The sequence below is a fragment of the Homo sapiens genome, chromosome 2 (genome assembly GCF_000001405.40).
Source record: "Homo sapiens chromosome 2, GRCh38.p14 Primary Assembly".
Classification (NCBI taxonomy): Eukaryota; Metazoa; Chordata; class Mammalia; order Primates; family Hominidae; genus Homo; species Homo sapiens.
Genome location: NC_000002.12, coordinates 24,879,346 through 24,906,258, shown reverse-complemented (window position 1 = coordinate 24,906,258; position 26,913 = coordinate 24,879,346). Strand labels below are relative to the sequence as shown.

The 26,913-nt window shown below is 47.3% G+C and overlaps 1 protein-coding gene across 30 annotated transcripts in view, besides 3 other annotated features; it reads left to right on the top strand.

The window, feature by feature from the left end:
• ADCY3 (adenylate cyclase 3) overlaps window positions 1-26,913 on the top strand; it is a 101,069-nt gene that overhangs the window by 13,979 nt on the left and 60,177 nt on the right. Inside the window, exon 1 of one of the 30 annotated variants that reach the window (XM_047443016.1) lies at window positions 18,479-18,614. The exons of 27 other annotated variants lie outside the window; for them this stretch is intronic. In XM_047443016.1, the coding sequence (XP_047298972.1) occupies window positions 18,576-18,614 (39 nt within the window). In that variant the 5' untranslated portion in view covers window positions 18,479-18,575. Of the gene's footprint in view, window positions 1-18,478; window positions 18,615-19,076; window positions 19,167-26,913 lie in introns of those variants that run through there. 2 more of the 30 variants (XM_017003191.1, NM_001377131.1) reach the window with 2 other exon arrangements.
• Window positions 1,994-2,493: an enhancer, noted in NCBI's record as "H3K4me1 hESC enhancer chr2:25126635-25127134 (GRCh37/hg19 assembly coordinates)". NCBI's record gives its function as "activates a minimal SCP1, AML or CMV promoter by ChIP-STARR-seq in primed H9 embryonic stem cells {active_cell/tissue: H9 hESC(primed)}" and the evidence as "EXISTENCE:reporter gene assay evidence [ECO:0000049][PMID:30033119]".
• Window positions 2,494-2,995: an enhancer, noted in NCBI's record as "H3K4me1 hESC enhancer chr2:25126133-25126634 (GRCh37/hg19 assembly coordinates)". NCBI's record gives its function as "activates a minimal SCP1, AML or CMV promoter by ChIP-STARR-seq in primed H9 embryonic stem cells {active_cell/tissue: H9 hESC(primed)}" and the evidence as "EXISTENCE:reporter gene assay evidence [ECO:0000049][PMID:30033119]".
• Window positions 6,604-7,523: an enhancer, noted in NCBI's record as "H3K4me1 hESC enhancer chr2:25121605-25122524 (GRCh37/hg19 assembly coordinates)". NCBI's record gives its function as "activates a minimal SCP1, AML or CMV promoter by ChIP-STARR-seq in primed H9 embryonic stem cells {active_cell/tissue: H9 hESC(primed)}" and the evidence as "EXISTENCE:reporter gene assay evidence [ECO:0000049][PMID:30033119]".

Here is a 26,913-nt window from a genome sequence, read left to right as displayed (position 1 = left end):
CTCAGCTCACTGAAACCTCCACCTCCTGGGCTGAAGAGATTCTCCTGCTTCAGCCTCCCAAGTAGCTGGGATTACAGGCGTGCACCACCACGACTGGCTAGTTTTTGTAGTTTTAGTAGAGACGGGGTTTCACCATGTTGGCCAGGCTGGTCTCGATCTCCTGACCTCAGGTGATCCGCCCGCCTCAGCCTCCCAAAGTGCTGGGATTACAGGTGGCATTTCCTATCCCTTCCATTGTGTCTCAGACCTGCTGGCCTTCACAATTACGGCGTAGTGAAGGGACCTTGTGAGTCTTGGTCGACCCTCACCCCGGGTGGCTTTCTGCTTTGGACTCTGGGTCAAAGCACTGGCGTCACAGTCATTCGACTTGAACCACCAGGAGCTCCCCCACTTACCAACTGTGAGATCTGGGGTAAGTTATTTAACCTCTTTGCCTGGTTTCTCCTTCTGCAAAATGGGTGTGATAATAATACCTTTTTCACTGGGATAGGCGGCAAGCACTAGAAATGGCTGTTTCTCTGGCTGTCACTGTCATTGTGATGATTATTGGCTCTGATAAGGAATTGTAGAAAAGCCTGGCCCAACCACAAGGGAGGGAAGAGCAGCCCCAGGCTTCTTCCAGGATGTCTCAAGGGCGCCTGGTGGCTTCAAGCCCTGCCCTTGCCTCCCTGGTTGGGGCGGACCTGACATCCCTCCCCGCTTGGCCCTATCCACCCTATCATTGTTTCCCAACCCCTGACTGGGGTGTCGGACCCTCAGCCCCTGTTTAATAAATAGCCATATTCAACTTTCCTAGACAATTTTTGTCTTAAAAAATGTAAAAACGGCTGGGCACAGTGGCTCACGCCTGTAATCCCAGCACTTTGGGAGGCCGAGGCGGGCGGATCATGAGGTCAGGGGATCAAGACCATACTGGCTAACATGGTGAAACCCCGTCTCTATTAAAAATACAAAAAAATCAGCCGGGTGTGGTGGTGGGTGCCTGTAGTCCCAGCTACTCGGGAGGCTGAGGCAGGGGAATGGTGTGAACCCAGGGGGCAGAGCTTGTAGTGAGCTGAGATTGTGCCACTGCACTCCAGCCTGGGAGACAGAACAAGACTCTGCCTCAAAAAAAAAAAAAAATGCAAAAACACACTTTCAATTATTCACCATTTCCCCACAGTAACTAAGAAAGACCAAACTGTACCTTCCCATCTCTCTATAGTGATCATGGCTTTGCTTGCTGGACAGGGCTTTGGTTAATAACTCTAATAATCAGGGAAAAAGCAAAAACAACACAATAGAGGAATGGCGCATAGGAGGCAAAATAGAAGAAACTGACCAGTCGCATTGGCTCACATCTGTAATCCTAACACTTTGGGAGGCTGAGGCAGGCAGATCACCTGAGGTCAGGAGTTCAAGACCAGCCTGGTCAACATGGTGCAACCCTGTCTCTACTAAAAATACAAAATTAGCTGGACGTGGTGGTGCATGCCTGTAATCCCAGCTACTAGGGAGGCTGAGGCAGGAGAATTGCTTGAACCCAGGAGGCAGAGGTTGCAATGAGCCGAGATTGTGCCACTGCATTCCAGCCTGGGCGACAGAGATGCTGTCTTAAAAAAAGAGAGAAGAAACTTACAAGCTGGGTCACCGTTTTTTTTGGTTGCCTTCTAAATGTCGGAGAGAATATGCTTTCCACATGAAGTTCTCCACAGAGACAAAGAATCATGTACTTTTTTCTTTTCTTTTCTTTTTTTTTGAGATGGAATTTCACTCTGTCGCTCAGGCTGGAGTGCAGGGGCACGATCTCGGCTCACTGCAGCCTCTGCCTCCCGGGTTCAAGTGATTCTCCTGCCTCAGTAGTATGGACTACAGGCATGTGCCACCACACCTGGCAAATTTTTGTATTTTTAGTAGAGATGGGGTTTCGCCATGTTGGTCAGGCTGGCCTCAAACTCCTGATCTCAAGTTCTCTGCCCATTTGGGCCTTCCAAAGTGTTGGGATTACAGGCGTGAGCCACCACACCCGGCTAGAATAGTGGAATAGTGTACTTTTGATCCAAATTTCTCTCTGCCTCTTTTCTTTCTCTCTCTTTCTTTCTCTCTCTCTCTCTTTTTCTTTCTTTCTTTCTCTCTCTCTCTGTCTCCTTCCTTCCTTCCTTTTTGCATTTTGGCAATGGCCTTTCACTTAATGTCTTTTCTCTTTATGCTCCGTCTTTGGGAGGAATGCGTGAAGAGTTGGTTGTGGGTGGGAGACATGGTGAAGAAGGCTGCTGGCATGGCTGTAGTGGAGGAAGCCAGGTATGTCCTTTCATTAGGTCAGATCATGTGAGCTGCATGGAGCTCGGTTCCTTTCATATGGAGAACCTGGGGTTAGGATGTCCCTGTGGCCCTAGATGGCCTCACTTTGTTCCCCTGAGCTTTAGAATCTTCGTCCTCGGCAGGGTTAGTGACGCACAACACCTGAGGCTTCGAGTTGCATTTAGGGAAGAAAGGGATCATGGCGCTCCCTGTTCAGCTGGCGAGCCGTGCTGGAGCCCTGCCATGGTGCCCCCGCACCCTCCTACCCCTGCTCCCATTCCTCCCCGCCCCTCACCCACTTCCCTTCACGATGGCCTAATGGGTCTGATGACTCTCTGAGGACTAGTTACAAATAACATTTGCATGGATCATTGAAGCGCTTTTTATCTCATTATGTCACTTAGTCCTCACACCCACTCTGTGAGGTGGATATTCTTGTCACTGGCATTTTATAGAAAAGAAAGTGGAGGAGGAACAGAGGGTGAAGAAGGCGCCCAGGCTCCCCCCGGGAAGCGCAGACCCGGCTGGTCTCAGGGCCAAGACTTCCAGATCCAAATGCAAGTCAGAAGTCGTCTTCTCTGAGGAGATCGAGACAGACGGTTGTGGAAGTGGTTACATGACTGTGTGTCAGAACATAGAACTGTACACCAAAAAAGGGAATTGTACTGTACATGAAAAAGGGGAATAACAACAAAAGATAGATGGTGGAGAGCACAGACGGTCAAAAGATGGCTTCAGCATACAGTTGACCCTTGAACCACACAGGCGTTAGGGGTGCTGCCCCCCACACAGTCAACATCCATGTATAACTTTTTTTTTTTTTTTTTTTGGAGATAGAGTCTCTCTCTGTGTCACCCAGGCTAGAGTGCAGTGGCGCGATCTTGGCTCACTGCAATCTTCGCCTCCCGGGTTCAAGTGATTCTCCTGCCTCAGCCTCCTGAGTGGCTGGGACTATAGGCGCCCGCCACCACACCAAGCTAATTTTTATGGTGTGATCACGGCTCACTGCAGCCTCAACCTCTTGGGCTCAAGTGATCCTCCTGCCTCAGTCTCCCAAGTACCTGGGACCACAAATATGTGCCACAACACTCGGCTAATTTTTTGTGTTTTTAGTAGAGACGGGGTTTCACCATGCTGGCCAGGCTGGTCTCGAACTCCTGCCCTCAGGTGATCCACCCACCGCGGCCTCCCAAAGTGCTGGGATTACAGGCACGAGCCACTGCGCCTGGCCAGGAAAATATATTGACTATTCATTAAGTGGAGGTGGATCATCAAAAGGTCTTCATCTGCATCTTCACGTTGAGTAGCTGAGGAGGAGGAGAAAGAGAAGGGGTTGGTTTTGCTGTCTCAGGGGTTGCCGAGGTGAAAGAAAATCTGCAAGTGGACCTGTGCGGTTCAAACCCTGTTGTTCAAGGGCCAACTATGGTGTGGTAAGAGCTATGGTACCTTAACAGACACTCCACGGGGCTGGGAGAGAAGTTGACTTGGATGGGGCACCATGGCACATGTTGGGATGATGGCAGTCTTTCGTATCTTGCTTGGAGAAGTAGTCACACAGCTGTACATATTTGTCCATATTCATCAAAATATACACCTAAGGCTGGGCAAGGTGGCTCACGTCTATAATCTCAACACTTTGGGAGGCCAAAGTGGGAGGATCGCTTGAGCCCAGGAATTCGAGACTAGACTGGGCAAAATAGTGAGACCTCATCTTTACACAGAATTAAAAAATTAGCCAGGCGTGGTGGCACACACTTGTGGTCCCAGACACTAGGGAGACTGAGGCAGGAGGATCGCTTGAGCCCAGGAGGTTGAGGCTGCAGTGAGCCATGATCACAACACTGCACTCCAACCTGGGTAACAGAGTGAGACCCTGTCTCAAAAAAAAAAAAAAAAACCAAATACACACACACACACACACACACACACACACACACACACACAGAGTTAAAATGTGTGCCATCTACTAAAATTCAGTAGGTTTTATAAAAAGTCAGTAAAATACAGGAATCACAAAAATTGTGCATACATATATACATTTATATGTATTTTAAATAGTTTGTTTTAATTGAAAACATTTAGCTATACAGTCATTTGCCAATCTTTTGTTGAAGGGAAAGTTCTTTCCTTTTTATATAGGTACTCTGTTTGGTATTCCTTGTGGCCTTTTTCTTTTTCCTTCTTCTTTTTTTTTTTTTTAAAGATGAGGTCTTGCTATGTTGCCCAGGTTGGGCTTGAGCTCCTGGGTTCAAGTGATCCTCCCACCTTGACCTCCTGAGTAGCTAGGACCACCGGTGTTAGCCACCACCCCCTCCTATGGCCTTCTTTTGCAGCTGGGATGTGTTGTGTGTCATTTCCAGTTTCCTTAAAGTGGAGTAAGAATTAAAAGTCACTTGGAAGGAACCTGGGTACAGAATCCCCCTACATTTTTATTACTGTTCTTTCTTTTTGGCCAAATTGTTACTGTCTTGCCTACCTTGAATTCAACAGCAATTTCTTCTAGCTACTTATATTTGTCAAAAATGTTCAAAATACTCACTTTACTTTTTTTAGAAACAACGCGCTTTCTTTCACATCCATATTTTATCTGTGTAGGTTATATTTAATTAAGTTATGTAAATATAATACCAAAAACAACTGGCATAAACAGGTTTGGGACTAAACATAAGTGATTCTTGGAAAATACTCCGAAAGTTGGAGCAGAAATAAATGCATGGCCTTCCTAGAGAGGAGCTTGCCTGCGGCACGTGTAACGTCAGTTGATTTCTGGAGGGACTGGACTATCTTGGTGGATCCAGTGTCTCGGCTCTGGGGACTCCAGCGCTATCCTGTGCCCCTGCCCCTTCCTGCTCGGCTCTGACCTGCTCCCTCCTCGCTGCTTCCATTCCTGGTTCTTTCATTTTCCTTTTTTTTGAGACGGAGTCTCACTGTTGTCGCCCAGGCTGGAGTGCAATGGCATGATCTCGGCTCACTGCAACCTCTGCCTCCTGAGTTCAAGCGATTCTCCTGCCTCAGCCTCTCAAGTAGCTGGGATTACAGGTGCCCACTACCACGCCCAGCTGATTTTTGTATTTTTAGTAGAGATGGGGTTTCACCATGTTGGCCAGGCTGGTCTTGAACTCCTGACCTCAGGTGATCCACCCGTCTCGGCCTCCCAAACTGCTGGGATTACAGGCATGAGCCACCCTTTCCTGGTTCTAATTTGTCCACAGGAAGTAATGCATGTCTACTTCTTGTTTTCTACACAGCAGCCCTTCCAGTGTTTGAATTCAGCTATGTTGCTCTCCCTGGATCTCCTCTTCAGCCTCGCCCATCTCCCTTTTTCAAGAAGTCCTCAGGCGACATGGTTTCCAGACCTTACATGGTCCTGGGCACTTTCTCTAGGTGTAGACTAAAGCGCATTGCTCAGGACTGCCTTCTCCTGTTTGCCCAGGCTGCTCACAGAACCTTGTCCATCCTGCCTAGCTGCGGGACACAAACACTGCAGGTAGAAATTCTGTAGCTATACATTTAAGATTGGGGGTATGGCCCCCCCATTTCTGGAAAGTTTATATGTCAGGCCTTAATGATAGAGCTATTGTCTACATAAACATTTACGTTTTTAAAAAATTTTTTATTTATTTTTTTTTTTTTTGAGACAGAGTCTGGCTCTTTTGCCCAGGCTGGAGTGCAGTGGCATGATCTCAGCTCACTGCAACCTTCGCCTCCTGGGTGGTGGCGCACACCTGTAATCCCAGCTACTCAGGAGGCTGAGACAGGAGAATTGCTTGAACCTGGGAGGCGGAGGTTGCAGTGAGTCGAGATTTCGCCACTGCACTCCAGCCTGGGTGACAGAGCAAGACTCTGTCTCAAAAAGAAAAAAAAAAAGGCAACTTCATTTCATATGATTCAATCTAACATAAAAGTAACAAATGTATTCACTGTGGAAAGCCTGGAAAATACTATGTAGTATGAAAAAATATTACCCATAATATTATTTCTGAAGGATAACTGCTATTAACATTGAGGCTTCTCTTAAACGAATATCAGTTTTCTTCTATATTATGAAGCACTATTGTAAGAAAATAATTCAACCTAGACAGGAGTACAAAGAATAAAAGTGAAAGTCCTCCTTCCTTCCCTTGCTCCCCTTCTCATAGGTACCCATTGCCAAATGTTTGGTGTGGATACTTCCAGAGATCTTTCTGTGAATTGCATATTTATGTGACTCTATGCACATTTAGGACAGATACATTCTTTATATAAGCTTATGCAAATCGGGGAAGCAAAGCTCTACACACCCCTCTATGGTAACTGTAGTTTCCTCTCAAGGGGATGAGATGCCTCTGCCGTCTGCAGCCCTGCCTCCATCAGCTGGGTGGTGCCACTCGAGGTCCACACTGGTGGCCTCCTTGAGCCACAGCCACCTCTCGAGCTGAGGAAGAGTCAGGGCTGGTCTAGCAAGCTGCTTCTGCTTGCTTCCATCTGCAGCAGCAAGAAGGCATCTTTCAAGGGCCTACTGGGCAGGAAATCCAGGGACAGTTTTGCCTGGCAGGCTGGTGGCAGAGGTGGCTGGGGTGACAGCAGCATTCCAGCCGAGAGTGAGGTCCCGCTCTTAGACAGACATGGGCTTTGGTCGCAAGAGAATGGTTTATTTATTGGGATTGAAGAAGGCATCAAAATCAATACAGTCATCACCTCACAGGGCAGAAGAGCGGATGGTGGTTTGGGGAGAAGGAGGCGGTGTGCCAGGAGGAGGGAAGCGTGGCCCAGAGTTGGATGCCTGGGGCCCTGGGCAGCGCAGCTGACCTCCCTGGGCCTCTGTGGGTCAGCTGCCTAGGGAGTTGCCTAGGCAGTTGGCAACTGCCTAGTGGCTCTGCCTAGGGAGCAGAGGTAGAGACAGGTGAGCTGGGAAAAGGTGGGAGGGGTAGGGGGACATTGGAAGCCAGTGACACCGGGATTCAGGGTGACAAGGGGCATGAGGGGACAGTGGAGTGTTTGGAGGCTATTGAGTGCGTGGTTGTGTGGTGAGAACAGGGAGAATGGTGGTGGAGCTGGAGGGAGGGCAGGTCACCTGCCGTGGTCGTGCTTGGCGTCCGCGCTGGAGTTCTCTGGCGGTGAAAGGGTTTCCAGTGTGAACTGGAGCTATCCCCAGGCTGCAGACCTCCCACTGCTGAGCTGCTGTTGGTTGCGTGGTAAATTTTGCTTTTGTTCTCCCAGTCTTAGGAATTCTGTTTGCTTCCCCGAACCTCCCAGGCTTCCCCAGGCAAGGGTTGTCTCCCCAGAGACCTGGAGCCGGGAGCTGTGCGGTTTCCTGGGACCTGTGGCTTCTGCTCCTTTGCTTTGTGGAAAGGAAGTCAGAGGCGGAAATGGGAGGGCTCCTTTCCAGTGCTGCAGGGCTCCATTGAGAGGCTGATTTGAGAGTGAAGATCTTCGGAGGATATTTCCTCTGGCTGAGTGTAATTGACTTAATCTGTGGTGTGGCTCATTTTTCCTTTTGGAAAAAGGAGAGATGGCGCCTGACTCACCCCTTCATGAAGCACTGTGTGAAGTACACGAAGCCCCTCTCCCCGAGGACAGCCCTGCATAGGTGCATTCCCACACAGTCAGTGTCCCGACTCCCATCCCGCAGACAGTAGGTCCACTCCCTTCCTTTCTTCTCGGTGCGAGGGTGGGGCTCACCCCACGGTGATGGAAAGGCGGTCCTCGAGCCTCCCCGGGGGCCTCTGTGGCGCACGAACTGGGAGAGTGGAGAGAAAAGCCCCTCAGGAGGAGGAGTACTGAGCTGGGCCGTGAAGGGCACGTTGGATTTCGATCCTGAGGTCAGTAGGGGAGGGGCAGTGGCAGTGGCTTGTGAACAAAGGTCTGGGGGTGAACATAGACGGGGTAGTGGAGAACCTCTGACTGGAGAGTTGGGTGCAGTAGTAACAAAGAAGCCTGGAAGGTTATTTGGGATCTGAAATGGGGAGGAGTAAAAGCCATATGAGACAGTTCTGACTCCATTTTGTAGACAGTGGACAGCCATTGAAAGCTTTGGAGCAGGCAGTTGACCTGAGCCCTGCTACCTTTCAGGAAGATGATTCTGGCAGCGAACGGTGATGGCTGTGAGCAGCAGAGTATGTGAGAACCTGCCTGAACGTGGCGGGATACAAGGACCTGACCTGAGCCACCGAAGCGGGTATAGGAGAGAGAGGGATTCGTTCAGCCAGCATAGACGGAGGGCCTGCTGGTGCTCAGCATATTAGAAGGTGCAAAATGGAAAAGTCTGGGTTGTTGTCCTTGCTGAACTTCCCGTGTGAGTGTGAAGATTTCAACACACTCCCCATAAACTGATGAGAGACTATTTCAAATCACCCATGAGAAGGTGGAGGAAGAGAACAGCCAGCCACATGTGACATCGTGATGGTAGAGTTGGGAGGAACACTGACCAAGCACCTGTTTCGCGCCGGGCACTGTGTCAGGTGCTCTGATCCTCTCCCCAACCCTGGGGAGATTTCAGAGAGAGACTGAGGTGCTTTCTCAGGGACACACAGGCCCTTGGCAGGTGAGGCTGGTGTTCAGCTTCTGCTCTGTCCAGTTTCAGAGTCTTGGCTCTTTATGCCAAGGGCAGGGGGCTTTGAACCAGGCCTTGAAGTTAGTGGTAGCAATGGAGGTGGGGGTACATTCTATAAGAAGTCCCAGAAAGAGAGAGGGAGAGAGACAAAGAGAGAGAGAAGAGGGAGGAGGAGGAGGAGGAGAAGGGGGAGGAGGAGAAAAAGGAGAAGGGGAAGGAGGAGGAGGGTGTGGCTGAATTAGAGACCAGGAATGGCAGTTAGGGAAAGATGGGGTACAGGTATGGTAGGCAAGAGGGATATGGTTGAAAGAGGGTGGGTGGCTGGTCTCTTTCTTCCTCTGATCTACCATGATGTCATCTTGCGAAAAGATGATGAGACTTCTGCTTCCAGTCGAGAGTGAGCAGGACAGCCTGGAATTATTCTCCCACTGTAAACAACTAGGAGCTGGATAAAATATAGGGACCAGGCAATGGTGGACTGTGATTCCTTGGAAAAAGAAGACTAACCGAGTGAGCCCTATCGTTCATTACCTAGCCTTTCTACCTGAAGAGAATTCTACCACAGGGAGGGAGAACCCAAACGGAGACTGGCGAGATTACTAAGTTGAGGGAACAGAGATCAGAATTTGGAGACACCAAGTTCTAAGGTTTCTAGAATCTGTGGGACAGAATCCTAAAAGGAAGAAGCTGGAAAGAGAAAGATCTCCAGAAATCTCGATAGAGGCCTCCTGGAATCTCGGTGAATATCAATCTGCTCATGCACAGGGCAACCCTGTGAGACCAGAAGAGAACAACTGCAGAGGGAGCTGTAAGACAAACAGGATAGAGCCAACACAGGACCAGGGTTCACTGGAGTCCTCTTTAAAAGAATATGACAAAATTATGCATTGAAAAATGGTAACGTTTGCAGTGTGAGACATCCAGCAAAAAATTACTAGACAAAGAAGGAAATGTGACTGACCCACTAACAAAAAAAAAGTGGTCAATAGAAATAGACCTAGCAATGACAAAGATGTGATGGAATTATCAGGGAAAGGACATGAAAATAACTTTTTTTTTTTTGTAACAGAATCTCACTTTGTTACCCAGGCTGGAGTGCAGTGGCACGATCTCGGCTCACTGCAACCTTTGCCTCCCAGGTTCAAGCGATTCTCCTGCCTCAGCCTCCGGAGTAGCTGGGATTACAGGTGCATGCCACCATGCCTGGCTAATTTTTGTATTTTTTAGTAGAGATGGGGTTTCGCCATGTTGACCAGGCTGGTCTCAAACTCCCGACTTCATGATCTGCCCATCTCGGCCTCCCAAAGTGCTGGGATTACAGGCTTGAGCCACTGTGCACAGCCCGAATATAACTTTTATAAATATGTTTCATTTGATCAAGCATGTAAATGAACACATCAGGATGATGGGAAGAGAAATGGAAAGTATAAGAAGATCCAGTAGCACCTCTAGGGATGAAAAATCAAAATATCAACTACAAAATCAAAAATGAAAAGCTAGGTAGATAGGATTAATAGTAGATTAGACAGTGCAGAAGAAATGATCAGTGAATTGAAGCTAGAGCAATAAAACTATCTAAAATTAAGCACATAAAGATAAAATATTCCACCCTGGGCAATATGGTGAAACCCTGTCTCTACAAAAAATACAAAAATTAGCCAGGAGTGGTGGCATGTGCCTGTGGTCCCAGCTACTCAGGAGGCTGAGACGGGAGGATCACATGAGCTCAACGGCATAGGTTGTGTTGAGCCAAGATTCCATCACTGCACTCTAGCTTGGGTGACAGAGTGAGACCCTGTCTCAAAAGAAAAAAAAAAAGAAGAAGAAAGAAAGAAAAAACATTGACAAAAGGTAATACTCAGAGCATCACTGGCATGTGGGACAATATAACAGACCCTAATATGTTTAATTGAAGTCTCAAAAGAACAGAGAGAAAGACAGAAAAAAATATTTGAAGAAATAATGGTGGGAAAACGTCCAAATTTGATGAAAACTCAACCCATGACTCAAGAAGCTCAACAGAATACAAACAAATATAAGGAATAAGAATGAAGAGAATTGGTCAGGCGTGGTGGCTCATGCCTGTAATCTCAGCACTTTGGGAGGCTGAGGTGGGCGGATCACAATGTCAAGAGATCGAGACCATCGACAAACATGGTCAAACCCCGTCTCTCCTAAAAATACAAAAATTAGCTGGGCGTGGTGGTGTGTGCCCGTAGTCCCAGTTACTCAGGAGGCTGAAGCAGGAGAATCGCTTGAACCCATGAGGAGGAGGTTGCAGTGAGCCGAGATTGCACCACTGCACTCCAGCCTGGCGACAGAGCAAGACTCCATCTCAAAAAAAAGAAAAAGAAAAATGAAGATAATTACATCAAGGCACATTGTAATCAGATTGCTTAATAAAGATACACTCATAAAAGTAACCAGAAAGAAAACAAAAAGGAAAAAAAAGACACACGACATAGAGAGGAACAAAGATAAGAATGACAGCAGATGTGTGGTCAGAAATTATTCAAGGCAGAAGACAGTAGAACTGAAAAAGAAAGTAGGTCAATCTAGAATTCTATACCCAACACAAATATCCTTCAAAAATGAAGGTGAAATAAACACTTTTTGATGGACAAACTGAAGTTGAGAGAATTCGTAACCAGCAGACCTGTAGTACAAAAAATGTTGAGGCAAGTTTTTTAGGCAGAAGAAAAATGATACTAGATAGAAATTTGGGCTGCACAAAGGAGTGAAGAGGCTTCCAAATGGTAAATTATATGGAAACATATGAAAGTTATCTTTTCTCATTTTTAATCTCTTTGAGAAACTGCTTAAAGCAAAAATATAAACAAGGTACTTTGGAGTTTAGAACATACATAGAAGCAAAATGTATGACAAAAATAGCACAAAGGACAGGAGGGGAGAAATGAAAGTATATTGTTATAATTTTCTTATTTATCTTTATTTATTGTTACTAGTTTTTAGAGACAGTGTCTCACTCTGTTGCCCAGGCTCGACAGCAGTGGCACAATTATAGCTCACTGTAGCCTCAACCTCCTGGGCTCAAGGTCTTCTCCTGCCTCAGCCTCCCAAGTAGCTGGGACTACAGGCATATAACAGCATGTCTGGCTAACTTTTTGTAGAAATAGAGTCTCACCACGTTGCCCAGGCTGGTCTTGAACTCCTGGCCTCAAGCAGTTCTCCCACCATGGCCTCGCAGAGGGCTGGGATTACAATGTGAGCCACCACACTTGGCTGTAATTTTCTTATATGCAAAGTAATAGAATATTTGAACTAGACTGTACTAAGTTAATGTTTACTCTAAGTCCCAGAGTAATCACTGAAAAAGCGTAACAAAGAGATATGACTCATAAGCCAATAATGGAGATAAAATAGAATGGTAAACAAAAATCATTCAAAAGATGGCAAAGAAAGTGGGAAAAAGGAACAAAGAACAGTAAGATAAGTAGAAGACAAAAAACAAGACAACAGTTTTAAATATAGCCATATTGATAATATTAAATGTAAGTGATATAAATATTCAGTTTAATAGGCAGATATTGGCAGTGGCTCACGCTTGTAATCCCAGCACTTTGGGAGGCTGAGGAGGACAGATTGAGCTCAAGAGTTCAAGACCAGCCTGGGCAACATGGTGAAAACCTATCTCTACAAAAAATACTAAAGTTAGCCAGGAGTAGTGGTGTGTGCCTGTAGTCCCAGCTGTTTGTGAGGCTGAGATGGGAGGATCATTTGAGCGAGCCTGAGAGGTCGAAGCTGCAGTGAGCTGTGATGGTGTCACTCACTCCAGCCTGGGCGACAGAGTGAGACCTTGTCTTGAAAAAAGAAAAAAAAAAAAGACAGGTATTGTGCAGTGGATAACAAAGCAAGAACCAACTATCAACTATCATAAAGAAACTCATCTTAAATATAAAGACACAGATAGACTGGGTGTGGCAGCTCATGCCTTCAATCCCAGTGCTTTGTGATGCCCAGGTGCAAGGATTGCTTGAGGCCGGGAGATCAAGACCAGCCTGGGTGACAGAGCAAGACCCTGTCTGTACACAAAAAAGAGACCCTGTCTCTACAAAAAGAAATTTTCTCGCTCTGCTGCCCAGGCTGGAGTGCAGCAGCGTGATCTCGGCTCACTGCAACCCTTGCCTCCTGGGTTCAAGTGATTCTCCTCCCTCAGCCTCCCAAGTAGCTGGGACTACAGGCATGAGCCACCACATCTGTCCTCTACAAAAAATTTTTTTAAAAATTAGCTGGGGGTGATGGTATGCGCTGGTAGTCTTAGCTACCTTGGAGGCTGAGGCAAGAGGATGGCTTGAGTCCAGGAGTCTGAGGCTGCAGTGAGCTGTGATTGCACAACTGCACTGCAGCTTGCATGACAGAGCAAGGCCCAGTCTCAAAAAAAAAAAAAAAAAAAAGACACATAGATTAAAAGTAAAAGGATAGAAAAAGACATTTTGTGCAAACCCTAATTAAAAGAAAAATAGGCCAGGTGTGGTGGCTCACACTTGTGATCCCAGCACTTTGGGAGGCCAAGGTGGGCGGATCACTTGAGGCCGGGAGTTCGAGACCAGCCTGGCCAACATGGCAAAACCCCATCTCTACCAAAATAAATAAATAAATAAATAAAGATGGTGTGGCTATAAGTACCAGACAATATATACTTTGGAACAAGAAATATTATCAGGGATAGCGAGGGACATTTCATAATGACAGAGGAATCAATTCATCAAAAGACATCATAATTCTAAATATGTATGCACCTAATGACAAAGCTGTACCAAAGGAATATTTATAGAACCCTGCACCCAAGAACTAGAGAACATACATTCTTTTCAAGTGCACTGAAATGTTCTCAAAGACACACAACCTGTTACAAAACAAGACTCAATACACTTTGGCTGGGAGTGGTGGCTCACGCCTATAATCCCAGCACTTTGGGAGGCCGAGGCGGGTGGATCACGAGGTCAGGAGATCGAGACCATCCTGGCTAACACAGTGAAACCCTGTCTCTACTAAAATACAAAAAATTAGCCGGGCCCACTTGGTGGCAAGCGCCTGTAATCCCAGCTACTTGGGAGGCTGAGGCAGGAGAATGGCGTGAACCCAGGAGGCAGAGCTTGCAGTGAGCCGAGATCGCGCCACTGCACTCCAGCCTGGGTGACAGAGCCAGACTCCATCTCAAAAAAAAAAAAAGACTCAATACACTTTAAAAGATTGAACTCATATAAAGTATATTCTCTGACAAAAATGGATGGAAGTAGAAGTAACAGACTATATCTTTAAAAATCCCAAAATATTTGGAAACACATGCCTAAAGGAAGGAAAAAAATCACAAGAGATCTTAGAAAACATATTGAATTAAATGAAAATGAAAACAACATGCTGAAATTAGCAGACGCAGACAAAGCAGTGCTTTGAGGATAATTTGTAGCATTAAATGCTTATACAGTAGTTCCCCCTTATTCGTGGGGGCTGTTCCAGGATCCCCAGTGGATGCCTAAAACTGTCAGTAGTTCTGAACCCTATATATACCATATTTTTCCTATATATACGTATCTATGATAAAGTTTAACTTATAAATTAGGCACAGTAAGAGATGAACAACAACTGATAATAAAATAGAACAGTTATAACAGTTGGTACACATTTTCTGTTTGTGTCTTCCACCCACAAACTTAATACCTTTTTCATCTTTAAGCCCTTTACTATGCACTGTAGCTGTTACTTTTGCAGTCTGAAGTGCAACAGCAAAACTCACACAAATTTATCTTTCCCTTTTCACAAGTTCACATATAGAAGATTTGCTCTTACCCTAGATCTTCGCCACCTCAACGTATGATCTTTCCTTTGGTTGAGAAATTTTTTCTTTTCACTTAAAGGAAACGCTTTATGGCTTCTCTTTGGCATATCTGAATTGCTAGCATCACTACTTTTATACTTTGGTGCCATTATAAAGTAAAATAAGGGCTACTTGAACAGAAGCACTGCAGTACCTTGTCAGTCAATCTCATAACCGAGACAGCTACCAAGTGACTCACAGGTGGGTAGCATGGATAGTGGGGATATGTTGGACAAAGGGCTGACTCACATCTCTAGTGGGACAGAGCAAAATTGTACTAGAGTTCATCACACTACTCAATTTAAAACTTATGAATTATTTATTTCTTAAATTTTTCATTTAATATTTTTGGACTGTGATTGACCTTGGGTAGCTGAAAATGCAAAAAGTGAAGCCACAGATAAGGGAGACTACTGTATTAATAAAGAAGAAAGGTCTAGGCCGGGCGCAGTGGCTCATGCCTGTAATCCCAGCACTTTGGGAGGCCAAGGCAGGTGCATCCTTGAGGTCAGGAGTTCGAGACCAGCCTGGCCAACATGGCGAAACCCCATCTCTACTAAAATATGAAAAAATTGCTGGGTGTGGTGGCATGCCTGTAATCCCACTTACTTGGGAGGCTGAGGCATGAGAATTGCTTGAACCTGGGAGGTGGAGGTTGCAGTGAGCCGAGATCGTGCCACTGCGCTCCAGCCTGGAGGACAGAGCAGACTCTATCTCAAAAAAAAAAGAAGAAAGGTCTAAAGTCTGTGATGGAAGCTTCTACCTTAGAAGCTTAAACCTTTAGATTGAAGTAGAAAAACTAGATCCAGAGAAAGAAGCAGAAAAAAAAATTAGTGGGAAAACATTACAAATCAGTGACTCCAAAGCTGGTTATTTGAAAAGGTCAGTAAAATAGATAATCCTCTAGCTAGATGATTGGGAAAATGAGGGAGGACACAAATGACCAGTACCGGGATGCAGGTGAGCATGAATACAGATCATACAGACACTCAGAGAGTCATAAGATGATGTCATAAACAACTCTGTGCCAATACATTGAACGACTTAGACAAATTGGACAAATTACTTGAGAGGCACAAACTATCAATGTTGAATAGCCCCATATCCATTGTAGAAATTGAATTTTGGTTTAAAACCTTCCACAAAGGAAACCCCAGCCTCAGATGGTTTCAGTGCTGAATTTCATCAGACATTTAAAAATGAAATAATACCAATTCCACATAAATTTTATCAGAAAGTAGAAGAGGAGGGAACATTTCCCAACTTATTTTATGAATTCAATATTGCCCTGATATCAAAACCAGACAAAGACGTTACAAAACAAAAACTCCAGATGAATATCCCTCATGCACATGTAAGCAAAAATCTTTAACAGAATATTAGCAAAGAAAACCTGGAAATATATAAAAAGAATAATATATAATGACCAAGTAGGGATTTGCACAGGAATGCAGGGTGGTTTTAACATCTTAAAATTGGTGCAGTTTAACATTAGCCTACTGAAAAGGAAAACCCATAAGATCATCTCAATTTTGTCAAATGCAGAAAAAAGCATTTGACAAAATTCAGCATCCATTCAGATAATACCTCTCAGCAAACTAGGAAAAGAAGATAATTTCTTCAACCTGAGAAAAGGCATCTTTGCAAAACCTACATCATATTTAATAGAGAAAGTCTGAATGTTCTCTTTTTAACCAAGGTTGGCTTTATGAGCACATGACTTGTGCAGTCTGGAAATTCTTAACAATTTTATTTATTCATTTATTTATTTGAGACGGAGTTTCGCTCTTGCTGCCCAGGCTGGAGTGCAATGGCGCGACCTTGGCTCACTGCAACCTCCGCCTCCCGGGTTCAAGCGATTCTCCTGCCTCAGCCTCCCAAGTAGCTGGGATTACAGGCATGTGCCATCACGCCTGGCCAATTTTGTATTTTTATTAGAGATGGGATTTCACCACGTTGGCCAGGCTGGTCTCAAACTCCTGACCTCAAGTGGCCCACTCGCCTCAGCCTCCCAAAGTGCTGGGCAGGATTACAGGCGTGAGCCACTGTGCCCAGCCAACAGTTTTATTTTTGAACTTATGTTTTGCAGCTGAAGCCTGCTGAGACAATGGAACATGCATATGTACTGAAGAAATACATACAAGATGAGTACCTGCCATATGTTTTTGTGTCATTTGCATATTTGTGTGTGATGCCCCGGCAACATGGAGTTCTGGTGAATTCACAATGTCTGGGAGTTGAGCAAGATGCAAAACAAGCGCAAAATAACATGTCGCATCCACAGCTGAGTAAGTAGAGGTACTGACAGCTCTGAGATTTTGTGCTTTCTGTTCAAACTAGAACTTGCTTCAAATACAGAAAGAAGGCAGTGACATTCTCAGAAACATGAACATCCCATGCTGCTTCCCTGTATTGGCCAACCATTTAATGCTGAAATTAATGACACAGAAATAAAAGGGAAGGTAGGACACACCCTAATAGCTTTCATTCCTTCCTCACGCATTATAAGCTGAAGATAGTGTTAGCAGAAGGTGCGTGTATCAATAAATGAAATAAAAACAGTTGAGTTTTCTGCAGCCTTTCCACTGTTTTTGTTTTTGAGACAGAGTCTCGCTCTGTCGCCCATGCTAGAGTGCAGTGGTGTGACCTCAGCTCACTGCAACCTCTGCCTCCCGGGTTCAAGCAATTCTCCTGCCTCAGCCTCCCGAGTAGCTGGGACTACAGGCACATGCCACTATGCCCGGCTAATTTTTGTATTTTCAGTAGAGACGGGGTCTCACCATATTGGTCAGGCTGATCTCAAACTCTTCACCTCAGGTGATCTACCCACCTTGACCTCCCAAAGTACTGGGATTACAGGCCTGAGCCACCACACCAGGCCCTTTCCACCATTTTGGTAAAATAAAATACATATATACATATGAGCCAAGAAATACTAATTGCCATGTGAGGCAATTTTCCATGTGAGAAGGTTGCAGAGGGAGGTTTTAAGGGACTTTCTAAGGAGTGATAGAACACAAGCCAGTTTGGCTCCAAAGACAGTGCTTATTCCACGGCATCACACTCCCTCCTGTTGTAGGGGCTGGAGGAGGACTTGTTGACTAATGGTGTGAAGGTTAATTGGTGTCCCCAGACACAGGCAGCCACTGTGGGCTGGGAGGTAGTCGGTCAGTTCAGCACCGGCAGGTGGCTCTAGCAGCTGCTGGCACTGCCATGAGGGTCTTCCCGATAATGAGACGTGGAAAGGGATGGGACAGGAGCTGAGCCGTCCAGCTGGGTGGCAGGGTCCTGGGGCCAGGATGTGCAGCTACACTGCAGGGCCCAAAACCCAGCCAGTGCACAGTGACACAGGCAGCATTCCACCTCAGAGGCTGGACAGGCAATGGGGGAGGACCAGGGGATGGGAACTTACTTGAGAGCTGTTGTGGTTTGAATGTTTTTGATGTTCCGAATGTGTTTGAATGTTTGTGATGAAATTTGAGTTTTGTTGAATCTGTGGATACAGAGGACCTACTGTGTACAAGGCAGTGTTTGAGGATGGAGCCTTAGAATGTCAGCACAGCCAAATTTGGGGACCATTGACACACATTGCCTTCCCAGGTGATGAAAATGACCTTGACTCACTCAAGCAGACTCAGAAAGCTGGAGAATTGGGAATAAATTCAGGAGTAACCTTGGGAATTTATAATATGCCTAACAATAATAGGTAACACTTAGATGTATTGTGTATCTGGCACAGTCTGATGCTGGGCTCTTTACACACATCATAGAGGAGTCTCCAACCCACCCTGAGATGGGCCTGTGGTTATTTGCATTTCGCAGGGGAGGCAGCGAGTTTAAAGTGTGGCAACTTCCAAGGCCCAGGCCCATGATGGAGATGAAATTCCACTCCAGCCTGAGTTTGGAGCTGCATTCTTCACCGCCATGCTTTCCTGCCCCGAGTGTTGGCCTCACCGAGAGGAGGTGTGTGTGTCGGGGGGGAGTGGGCTGGGACACGTGGTCATGGGGGCCCACAGAGCCAGATGCCGGGGGAACCAGGCACCCTCAGGAGCCATCACGGCTATCGCTGCATGATGCCGGTGAACCCCTCGGGACTTGGCCTGGTTTTCGACCTCTTGGCAGCCCCGAGTGTTCCCAGGCTGTGAAAATCCCCCCAGGTGCAGTGGCTGGCCTGGTCTCCGAGGGAAAGGAGCCGTGGAGCTCGCAGGTGGAAGGCTAGAGAGAGTAAGTGATACGGTTAGGCTTTGCGTCCCCACCCAAATCTCATCTTGAATTGTAATCTCCATCATCCCTACGTGTCAAGGGAGAGACCAGGTGGAGGTAGTTGAATCATGGGGTGGTTTCCCCCATGCTGTTCTCGTGATAGTGAGTGAGTTCTCACAAGATCCGATGGTATTATAAAGGGCTCTTCCCCTTTCGCTCGGCACGTCTTCCTGCTGCTTTGTGAAGGAGGTGTTTTGTGACCCTTTCGCCATGATTGTAAATTTCCTGAGGCCTTCCCAGCCATGCTGAACTGTGAGTCAGTTAAACCTCTTTCCTTTATAAATTGCCCGGTCACAGGCAGTTATTTATAGCAGTACAAAAACGGACTAATACAGGAAGAAAGCTGGGGCTGCTAGGGAGAAGTTAAGACCAAGAGTGAGCCACGGGGTGTCACTTGTGGGGGACTGTCGAGTTGGTGATTTGCACCCCTTTGTGCCAGCCAGGCCCAGCATCTGCCTAGCAGAGCCCCAGGGACCGGCTTGCCTTGTGCAGCAGCTAACCTCACCCACTCAGGGCACATGGCAGCCTCCTTGCCAGCTGGGCTTCCCCCTTCCCCTCCCCAGGGCAGGCTCATCCGAGTGAGTGAGAGCAGTGAGTCCGTGGGCATCGCCCGGAACCAGCTCCAGTTTCTAAGGAGAGTAGAGCTTTTGCGCTGCTGGGAGCTGGATGATGAGTGGCGAGAACTGGCCTGGCAGCGCAGCTCACACCCATCTCGGGGCGGGGGTCTTCTCCCTTCATTCCTGGTTGTCATGACCCTGAGCTTCAGAGTTTCTGTGTCAAGGCGAAGCAGGAGGGCAGAGTGAGGTGACTGGGTTCTGTGCCCAGGTCTTGTGGGAAGATCTTAGGGAGGTTTATCTTCCCACCTGGCCCTTTGCAAGGTCCGGGTGGAGGTGAGGCGTGTTTGCTAAACATGATGTAGCGCAAGGAGGCTCAGGTGGGCTCGATGGAGGAGGCGGGGTTCAGCTAGATTTCGAGGGGGAGGCGGAAGGCGGCCAGGTGGGGAGGGGCATTCTAAGTGCGTGCTTCCCACATTGGGGGTGCAGGGTTGTGTTTGCTTTGGCGCATGTGAAGCCACAGGATGACCGTGGAGTTGGCATTTCCTTTCATCCTGTGTCCTCCATGTATTCATTCCTTCACCCAGCAGACAGCGTGCTGGGTGCTACTGAGTGCTGGGAACACAGTGGGGACTGGGACAGATGTCGTCCCTGCCCTAGTGGCACTTACACTGAAACAGGTGGAGACATCTGTTTGGCAAATATTTTTAAACACTTAAAAATACAAATACAAACATGGATTTTATTGAACAGAATGCAGAATCCACATATATTAGCAAGTAAAATGAGAAGCTTCCTCCCCAGGCACTTTCGTGGGGAAGTTTAAGAGCTCTCAAAATAGGGGCTACAGCATGTGCCGAGGTCAGGAGGCCAGTTGGTGACATGCTGAGGACGTCAGCTTGGCTAAAGCAGATGGTTTACCTCAGGCAGCTGTGGGGGCGGGGTTTAGATTCAAGTTCATGGTAAAGCCCAGAGTATATAGGACCCTGAATGCCAGAATGAAGATTTTGAACTCTTGGACAATTGGCAGCTATTGAGGTGTTTTGAGCAGAAGGTGGTACTTGCAAAAATATTATTTTGGAAGATTAATGTGTTCCAGGGTGGATTGGCAGGACCAGGGAGATGAGTCTGTCCCCAGCCCTGTGGGAAGTAAGGGTGTGAGCCAGGTGGTGGCAGCAAGAGTGAGGAAAAAGGAGACCCAGAGGCTTTTACCTGGAAAGACCAGCTGGGATGAAGGACCTGCTGGAGGCACAGAAAGGAGCTCAGTGAGAGAGAGCAGGCTGGCGCTGGTTCAGGCGTTCAGCCAATGTTACTGAGGACCTGCGCCGTGTTGGGTGCTGTGTTCCTAGCTGGGGCGTAGTGTTGGCAGAAGTGAGACCTGTGGATCAGGGCTGGTTAGGGGAGACCATGACAAGCTTGGGTGTTCACATTGACTTTAGCGTTTTCCACTCCTGGTCCCGCCATAAGGTCTCCTGGAAACTTTTCAGCAATACCAGTGTCTGGGCCTCTGGTTCCACTTTTGTGGACTCTGCCTGGGCATAACTCCCCAGGTGATTCTAAGGCACAGCCAAAGTTGGGATCTGCTGAGTGAGGGTGAAGTGAGCACCTGCAGGTGGTGCTCATCAAGACAGTGGAGGCTGAGGAACTGGAATTTAGGAGAGGTGATAGTTCACCAGGGCCTTGAACTTGAATTTTGGAATTTGGAAGTCTCTGTCATGTGACTAAGAGAGTGCATTGAGAGGCCTGGTCCATGACCTGCCATGGTCCTTCCAGACCAGAGTCTCTCAGGACAAGAAGAAGGAAAATTGGAAAGGACTTTAAATCTGAATTGAAAACCAGGGAACTGAATTAAACGCAGGAGACATGAAGCAGCATCAACAGGTGGAAAGCACCGCCGTGGGTGGAGCTTTGAATGTGTGGGAGACATGCTGGTCAGAAGGGAAAAAAGATGGTAAAAGGGTACCTAACTCAGGGTGAGGGTGAACCAGGGATCAGAAGACTGTTAGAAAATGAGGGCTGGGCGCTGTGGCTCACACCTGTAATCCCAGCACTTTGGGAGGCCAAGGCGGGCAGATCACTTGAGGTCAGGAGTTCAAGACCAGCCAGGCCAACGTGGCAAAACCCTGTCTCTACTAAAAATACAAAAATTAGCCGGGCGTGGTGGCGGGCACCTGTAAATCCCAGATACTCGGGAGGCTGAGGCAGAAGAATCGCTTGAACCTGGGAGGCGGAGGTTGCAGTGAGCTGAGATTGCACCACTGCACTTCAGCCTGGGTGACAGAGTGAGACTCCGTCTCAAAAAAAAAAAAAAAAAAAAAAGATTATTAGAAAATAAAGACAATAAATGCATAGAAGAAAAATAGGGGATAGGCATAGGAAGATGGCCTAAGGCAGCAGCATGAGAGTTTGGTTTAAAGACCCAGGAAGGCTGGAAGCTCTTTGCCTTGTTTTCATATCTACTACTCCACCTTGAACAGTGATTCTGTAGAAGAGAATCACCTGGAGGAGGGCACAGATGCAGATGCCGGGGATTCTGTGGGCTAGGACCCTGGAATCTCCCATTTTAACCAGCTCCCTTTGGGACGCTGGTGCACCTGGCCCAGAAACACTGAACTGGAAAAACAGCAACTCAGGAACAACGCCAGAAGGGTTGCATCAGAACCAGTGACTGGAAAAAAAAAATGCTGAATGTCCCTGGGAAGGCTGTGAGAGGCTGTAGGGAAGAGGGAATTGCTGAGAAACCCCTAGAAGGACTAAAGGGGAGAAAAAAGATGTATCAAATCCCCAGGAGAAAGCTGTGATTCAGGAGAGCAGATGATGTGGGTTTTTGTTGCAGACGGTGTGCAAAAAGTTTTACTCTCAAAATGTCATTTTCTGAATTGAAAGGTAGGAAGTTTTGGAATCCAAAGAGTTTGCTGTGTTCCATGGCCACAAACACAAGAGAATAAGGGCTTGGTGTTTCTGTGTCATCAGTGATCTGTTCCCTTCAAGTTTTTACATTTTAAGTTTGTGTGATGATCTATCTGGATTCCTAAATATCTTCTGTCTCCAGATTATACACTTGTCTTCCTCCGAGCTGGTACATTTGCTTTCAAGTTCATCTAAAGTTAGTTTCAGAAAGTCAGGTGATCTGTGTGATAAATGTACCCAGTGTTGCTTATAGGTAAGAAAGCATGAGCAAAAGCATGGAGCCCTTTCATTCCTGCCTCACTTAGTATTGGCCGTCAGTTAGAAATTGGTTTCAATTTTCTTTATCGTCCAGAATCTATATGCTTAAATATATGTGAAAGCTCTGTGTTTTCAGAACATGTGAAAACTCCAACTGAGTGTGGCCAGCCCAAGCTTTCCTTCCTCATGGGGGCCTTTGCTGACTTCTCCCCTCTCCCTCAGAATCGAGCTGCACATCCTCTGTTCACTGCTAGCTTCTTTTTTTTATTTTTTTTGAGACAGAGTCTCTCTGTGTCGCCCAGGCTGGAGGGCAGTGGTGAGATCTCAGCTCACTGCAACCTCCGACTCCCGGGTTCAAGCGATTCTTCTGCCTCAGCTTCCCAAGTAGCTGGGACTACAGGTGCCCGCCACCATGCCCAGCTAATTTTTATATTTTTAGTAGAGACGGGGTTTCACTATATTGGCCAGGCTAGTCTTGAACTCCTGACCTCGTGATCTGCCCGCCTCTGCCTCCCAAAGTGTTGGGATTACAGGCTTGAGCCACCGCGCCTGGCCCTTTTTTTGAGACAGGGTCTCACTCCATCATCCAGGCTGGAGTGCAGTGGTGTGATCTCGGCTCACTGCAACCTCTGCCTCCCGGGCTCAAGCAGTTCTTGTGCCTCAGCCTCCCAAATAACTTGGGACTACAGGCATGTGCCACCATATACCCAGCTAATTTTTGTATTTTTAGTAGAGACGGGGTTTCACCAAGTTGCCCAGGCTGGTCTCGAACTCCTGACCTCAGGCGATCCACCCGCCTCGGCCTCCCAAAGTGCTGGAATTACAGGCATGAGCCACGGTGCCCGGCCACTGCTAGCTTCTTTACTGCCAGTAGAGTCAGCTCCTTGAGGTAATTTTATAATCTCCAGGGCCCAGTATGGGGTCCGCCACTCACCAGAGTATTCAATAGAGTTGAACTGACCACTTTGTAAAAAGACATGAGACCAAACATGATTCGGCTTTAAAACGGACTTCTTTAAATAGAATTGGAATTATTTGGCCTAGAGAAAGAGACCAAGGTGACTAAATAATGAGGTCACATCAATAAGAGAAGACAGGAAATGCTGTGAGCAGATGTTTGTGTGTCTAGTGAAGCAGCAAGAGCAGTGGGAGCTTTTGAGGAGTTTTGTGGTTCTCAGTCATCTGGAGTAACAGATCCTTAGGAGAATCTGACAAGAGCAATGGACTTGCTTCCCAGAGACGGGCCAAGTGTGATTTCTGCCCTACTTTAAGGGCTCACCAACTCCTCCAAAGCCTAGTCCAAGTGAGTAATCCCTGGGTTAGGATAAGATGCTACATTTGAGCTGTCCATTCTTGCATGGAAATGGGGAGGTTGACCAGATGGCCTTCTCTGGTTTTGACCATCTACACCCCTGAAACGTGGGCCTTCTGGGTGGGTGCATTGATCAGGCTGTTGTGTCTTTATGTTCAGTAAGTATCAGGAGCATTCTCCTCTTAGCCCACAAACTCTACAATTGACATAAAAATAAATCTACTTGTTCACACCATTGCTTCAGAGTTCATTATTCTCTGGTAGAAAAGGTCAAGAAAAAGTTCATTGTGAACACTCAGGAATCAAAAAGGAAGAAGGCGTTGTTCCAGGCCAGGGTTTCTTGACGTTGGCTCCGTTGACATTTGGGGCTGGATGGTTCTTTGTGGTGGGGGCTGCCCTGTGCAGTGTAGGATGTTCAGCAGCATCCCTGGCCTCCGCCCACTAGAGGCCAGTAGCACCCGCTCTCCTAGTCGTGACTGTCAAAACGTCTCCAGACACACTGTGGAATGGCCTCGGTGGTGGGCTGATCACCTGTGGTTGAGAACCACTTCTCTGTTTATCTTCATTTTGGCTCTCTTATCAAGGGGGAACACTTCAGTGGAGAATGAACTGTTCTTTCAGCTTCTTTTTACCACTGTAGCTGTTCACACAGCTCACGTTTGCTATGTTCCAATAGCTGTGCAAGGCCCTGGGGCTACAAATGTAAGTGACACCCATGATCTCAGGTACTTACTGCATCCTCTTGGGAGATACACACAGACGCATCAGGAGCTGCACTGAGGGAAGGCTGTGCCTCATGCTGTAGGGGGGTCTCCTTTGCACTGCTAGTGTCTTCTCCACCCAGAATGCCCATCCTTCTGGCCTCTCCCGTGGCTGGATCTTGCTTGGCATTCACTTCTCAGTTGAAATGACACTGCTTCCGAGAGACCTGTCCTAACGTCGGTGCCAGCTGTTTTCACCTAATGCTGCATAACAGCCCAGAACTCGGTGGCTCATGCCAGGCATTCCTCACTTGCACATCTGTGGGTTGGCTGGGGTGGGGCTGATCTGGGCTGGGATGGCTTTGGCTCTAAGCTGCAGCTTGGGATCAGTTCTGCTGTATCAGTTTATTGTTCTGTTGTACCAGTGAGGTTCTTAGTGTGTGGTGTTCTGGTGACGGGAGAAGCACAAAACAAAAAGCCAGCCCTCATGGGCATTTCAGAATGTGCTGCTTTTATAGATGCTGAAGTCTTTTTGGCCAAAGCAAATCACGTGGTCAAAGCCAGCAGGAAGGAAGGAGACTTTTTTTTTTTTTTTGAGGTGGAGTCTCACTCTATTGCCCAGGCTGGAGTGCAGTGGTGCTATCTTGGCTCACTGCAACCTCCGCCTCCCGGGTTCAAGCGATTCTCCTGCCTCAGCCTCCCGAATAGCTGGGATTACAGGTGCCTGCCACAACACCCAGCTAATTTTTGTACTTTTAGTAGAGATGAGTTTCGCCACATTGGCCAGGCTGGTCTCGAACTCCTGACCTCAGGTGATCCACCCGCCTTGGCCTCCCAAAGTGCTGAGATTACAGGCGTGAGCCACCATGCCCAGCTGGAAGGAGACTTTATACTCTGCAAGGATGTGGCTGTGTGATGCTTTTGCGGGGGAGTGAAGAACTAGGGCCAGCTGTCTTCCTCAGACCTCATCTAAAGCAGCTACCTAGTCACTTTCTACCACTTTTATTCTCTTTTGAGCTCTGATATGCTTACATTTGAAATATTATTTCTGCTAAGAGCTTGACAAGGGTAAGGTCACAGACTCGTCATAACATGTGGACCTCCACAGGCAGCAGAGGCAGGCTGTTTTGGTTGGAGCCTTGGATCCCTGAAATAGCACATCTTATAGGGAGGACTGGAGAGAGGCCCATTGTGATTGGAGGGAGGGGAGCCTGTTGAGGAGCAACCAGAGTCAAGACAGTAGAGCCTGGGGCCAAGGCCGCCATGTTCCGTGTCTGGGGAAGCCATCACGACAGATCTGTGTAGTGGCACCCCTGGCAGTGCGCAACCTGAGAAGCTGCTCTAGCTGCCTGGCAGATCATGAGGGACCTGGCCTAACATGTCAGATGGGCTGGATGCCTATTCTGGAAGTCCTCTTTGTTTTGGAAGAGGGTAGACTTTGAACATCTCTTACCAAAGGCATGCACAAGTTATAAGCAGAAAGCTTCTGGAGGCCCCTTTGTTTTGAGGCACATGGTGGAAACTTGGCAGATACCCAGCTCGGAAGGGCATGGCAGCAGCACCCCAGGCTTGAGCCTCGTGTTGTATTGATTAAGGTTGCATTTATTGGAGATCTCAGAGTCTCTCTTGGTGCAGCGATGCTTAGAATTTGCCCAAGGCAGCATGGGAGAGTCACTCACTGTCTGCAGACCTTATGACTCCTCCTTCCCACCTGCCCAGATGTTCCAGGTCCTAACTGGATCCTTAGCTCTTGGGGAGCCCCCTGTGCCGCGGCTGTAGCCCCGCCTTGGCAGACACCCATCACAGTTCAGCTAAGGTGATCGTATTGAGGGAGGGGAGCCCTGGCCCCGGGGTAAGGGGGTCTGGGTTCCGGTCTCAGCGCTGCTGGGAGACTAGGGGCTCGGAAGCTTATTTCTCTGACTTTAAGTCTCTTGCAAAATGAGAATAAGAAAACTCTGCCCTGCCTCCTCTTGTTGTGAGAAACAAATAGAATGATGAACATGAAGATTCTTGTAAAACGTCCTCAAAGTGTTATTATTAGTTACTAATTTGCCTTCAATGGAAGCAAAGAAAAAGTCATGAAAGGGGTATTTTGTGCCAAGCCCTGTGTGAGGTATGTGCAGTCTTTCAGTCTTTTTTTTTTTTTTTTTTTTTTTTGAGACAGAGTCTCGCTCTGTCGCCCAGGCTGCAGTGCAGTGGCGCAATCTCGGCTCACTGCAAGCTCCGCCTCCCGGGTTCATGCCGTTCTCCTGCCTCAGCCTCCT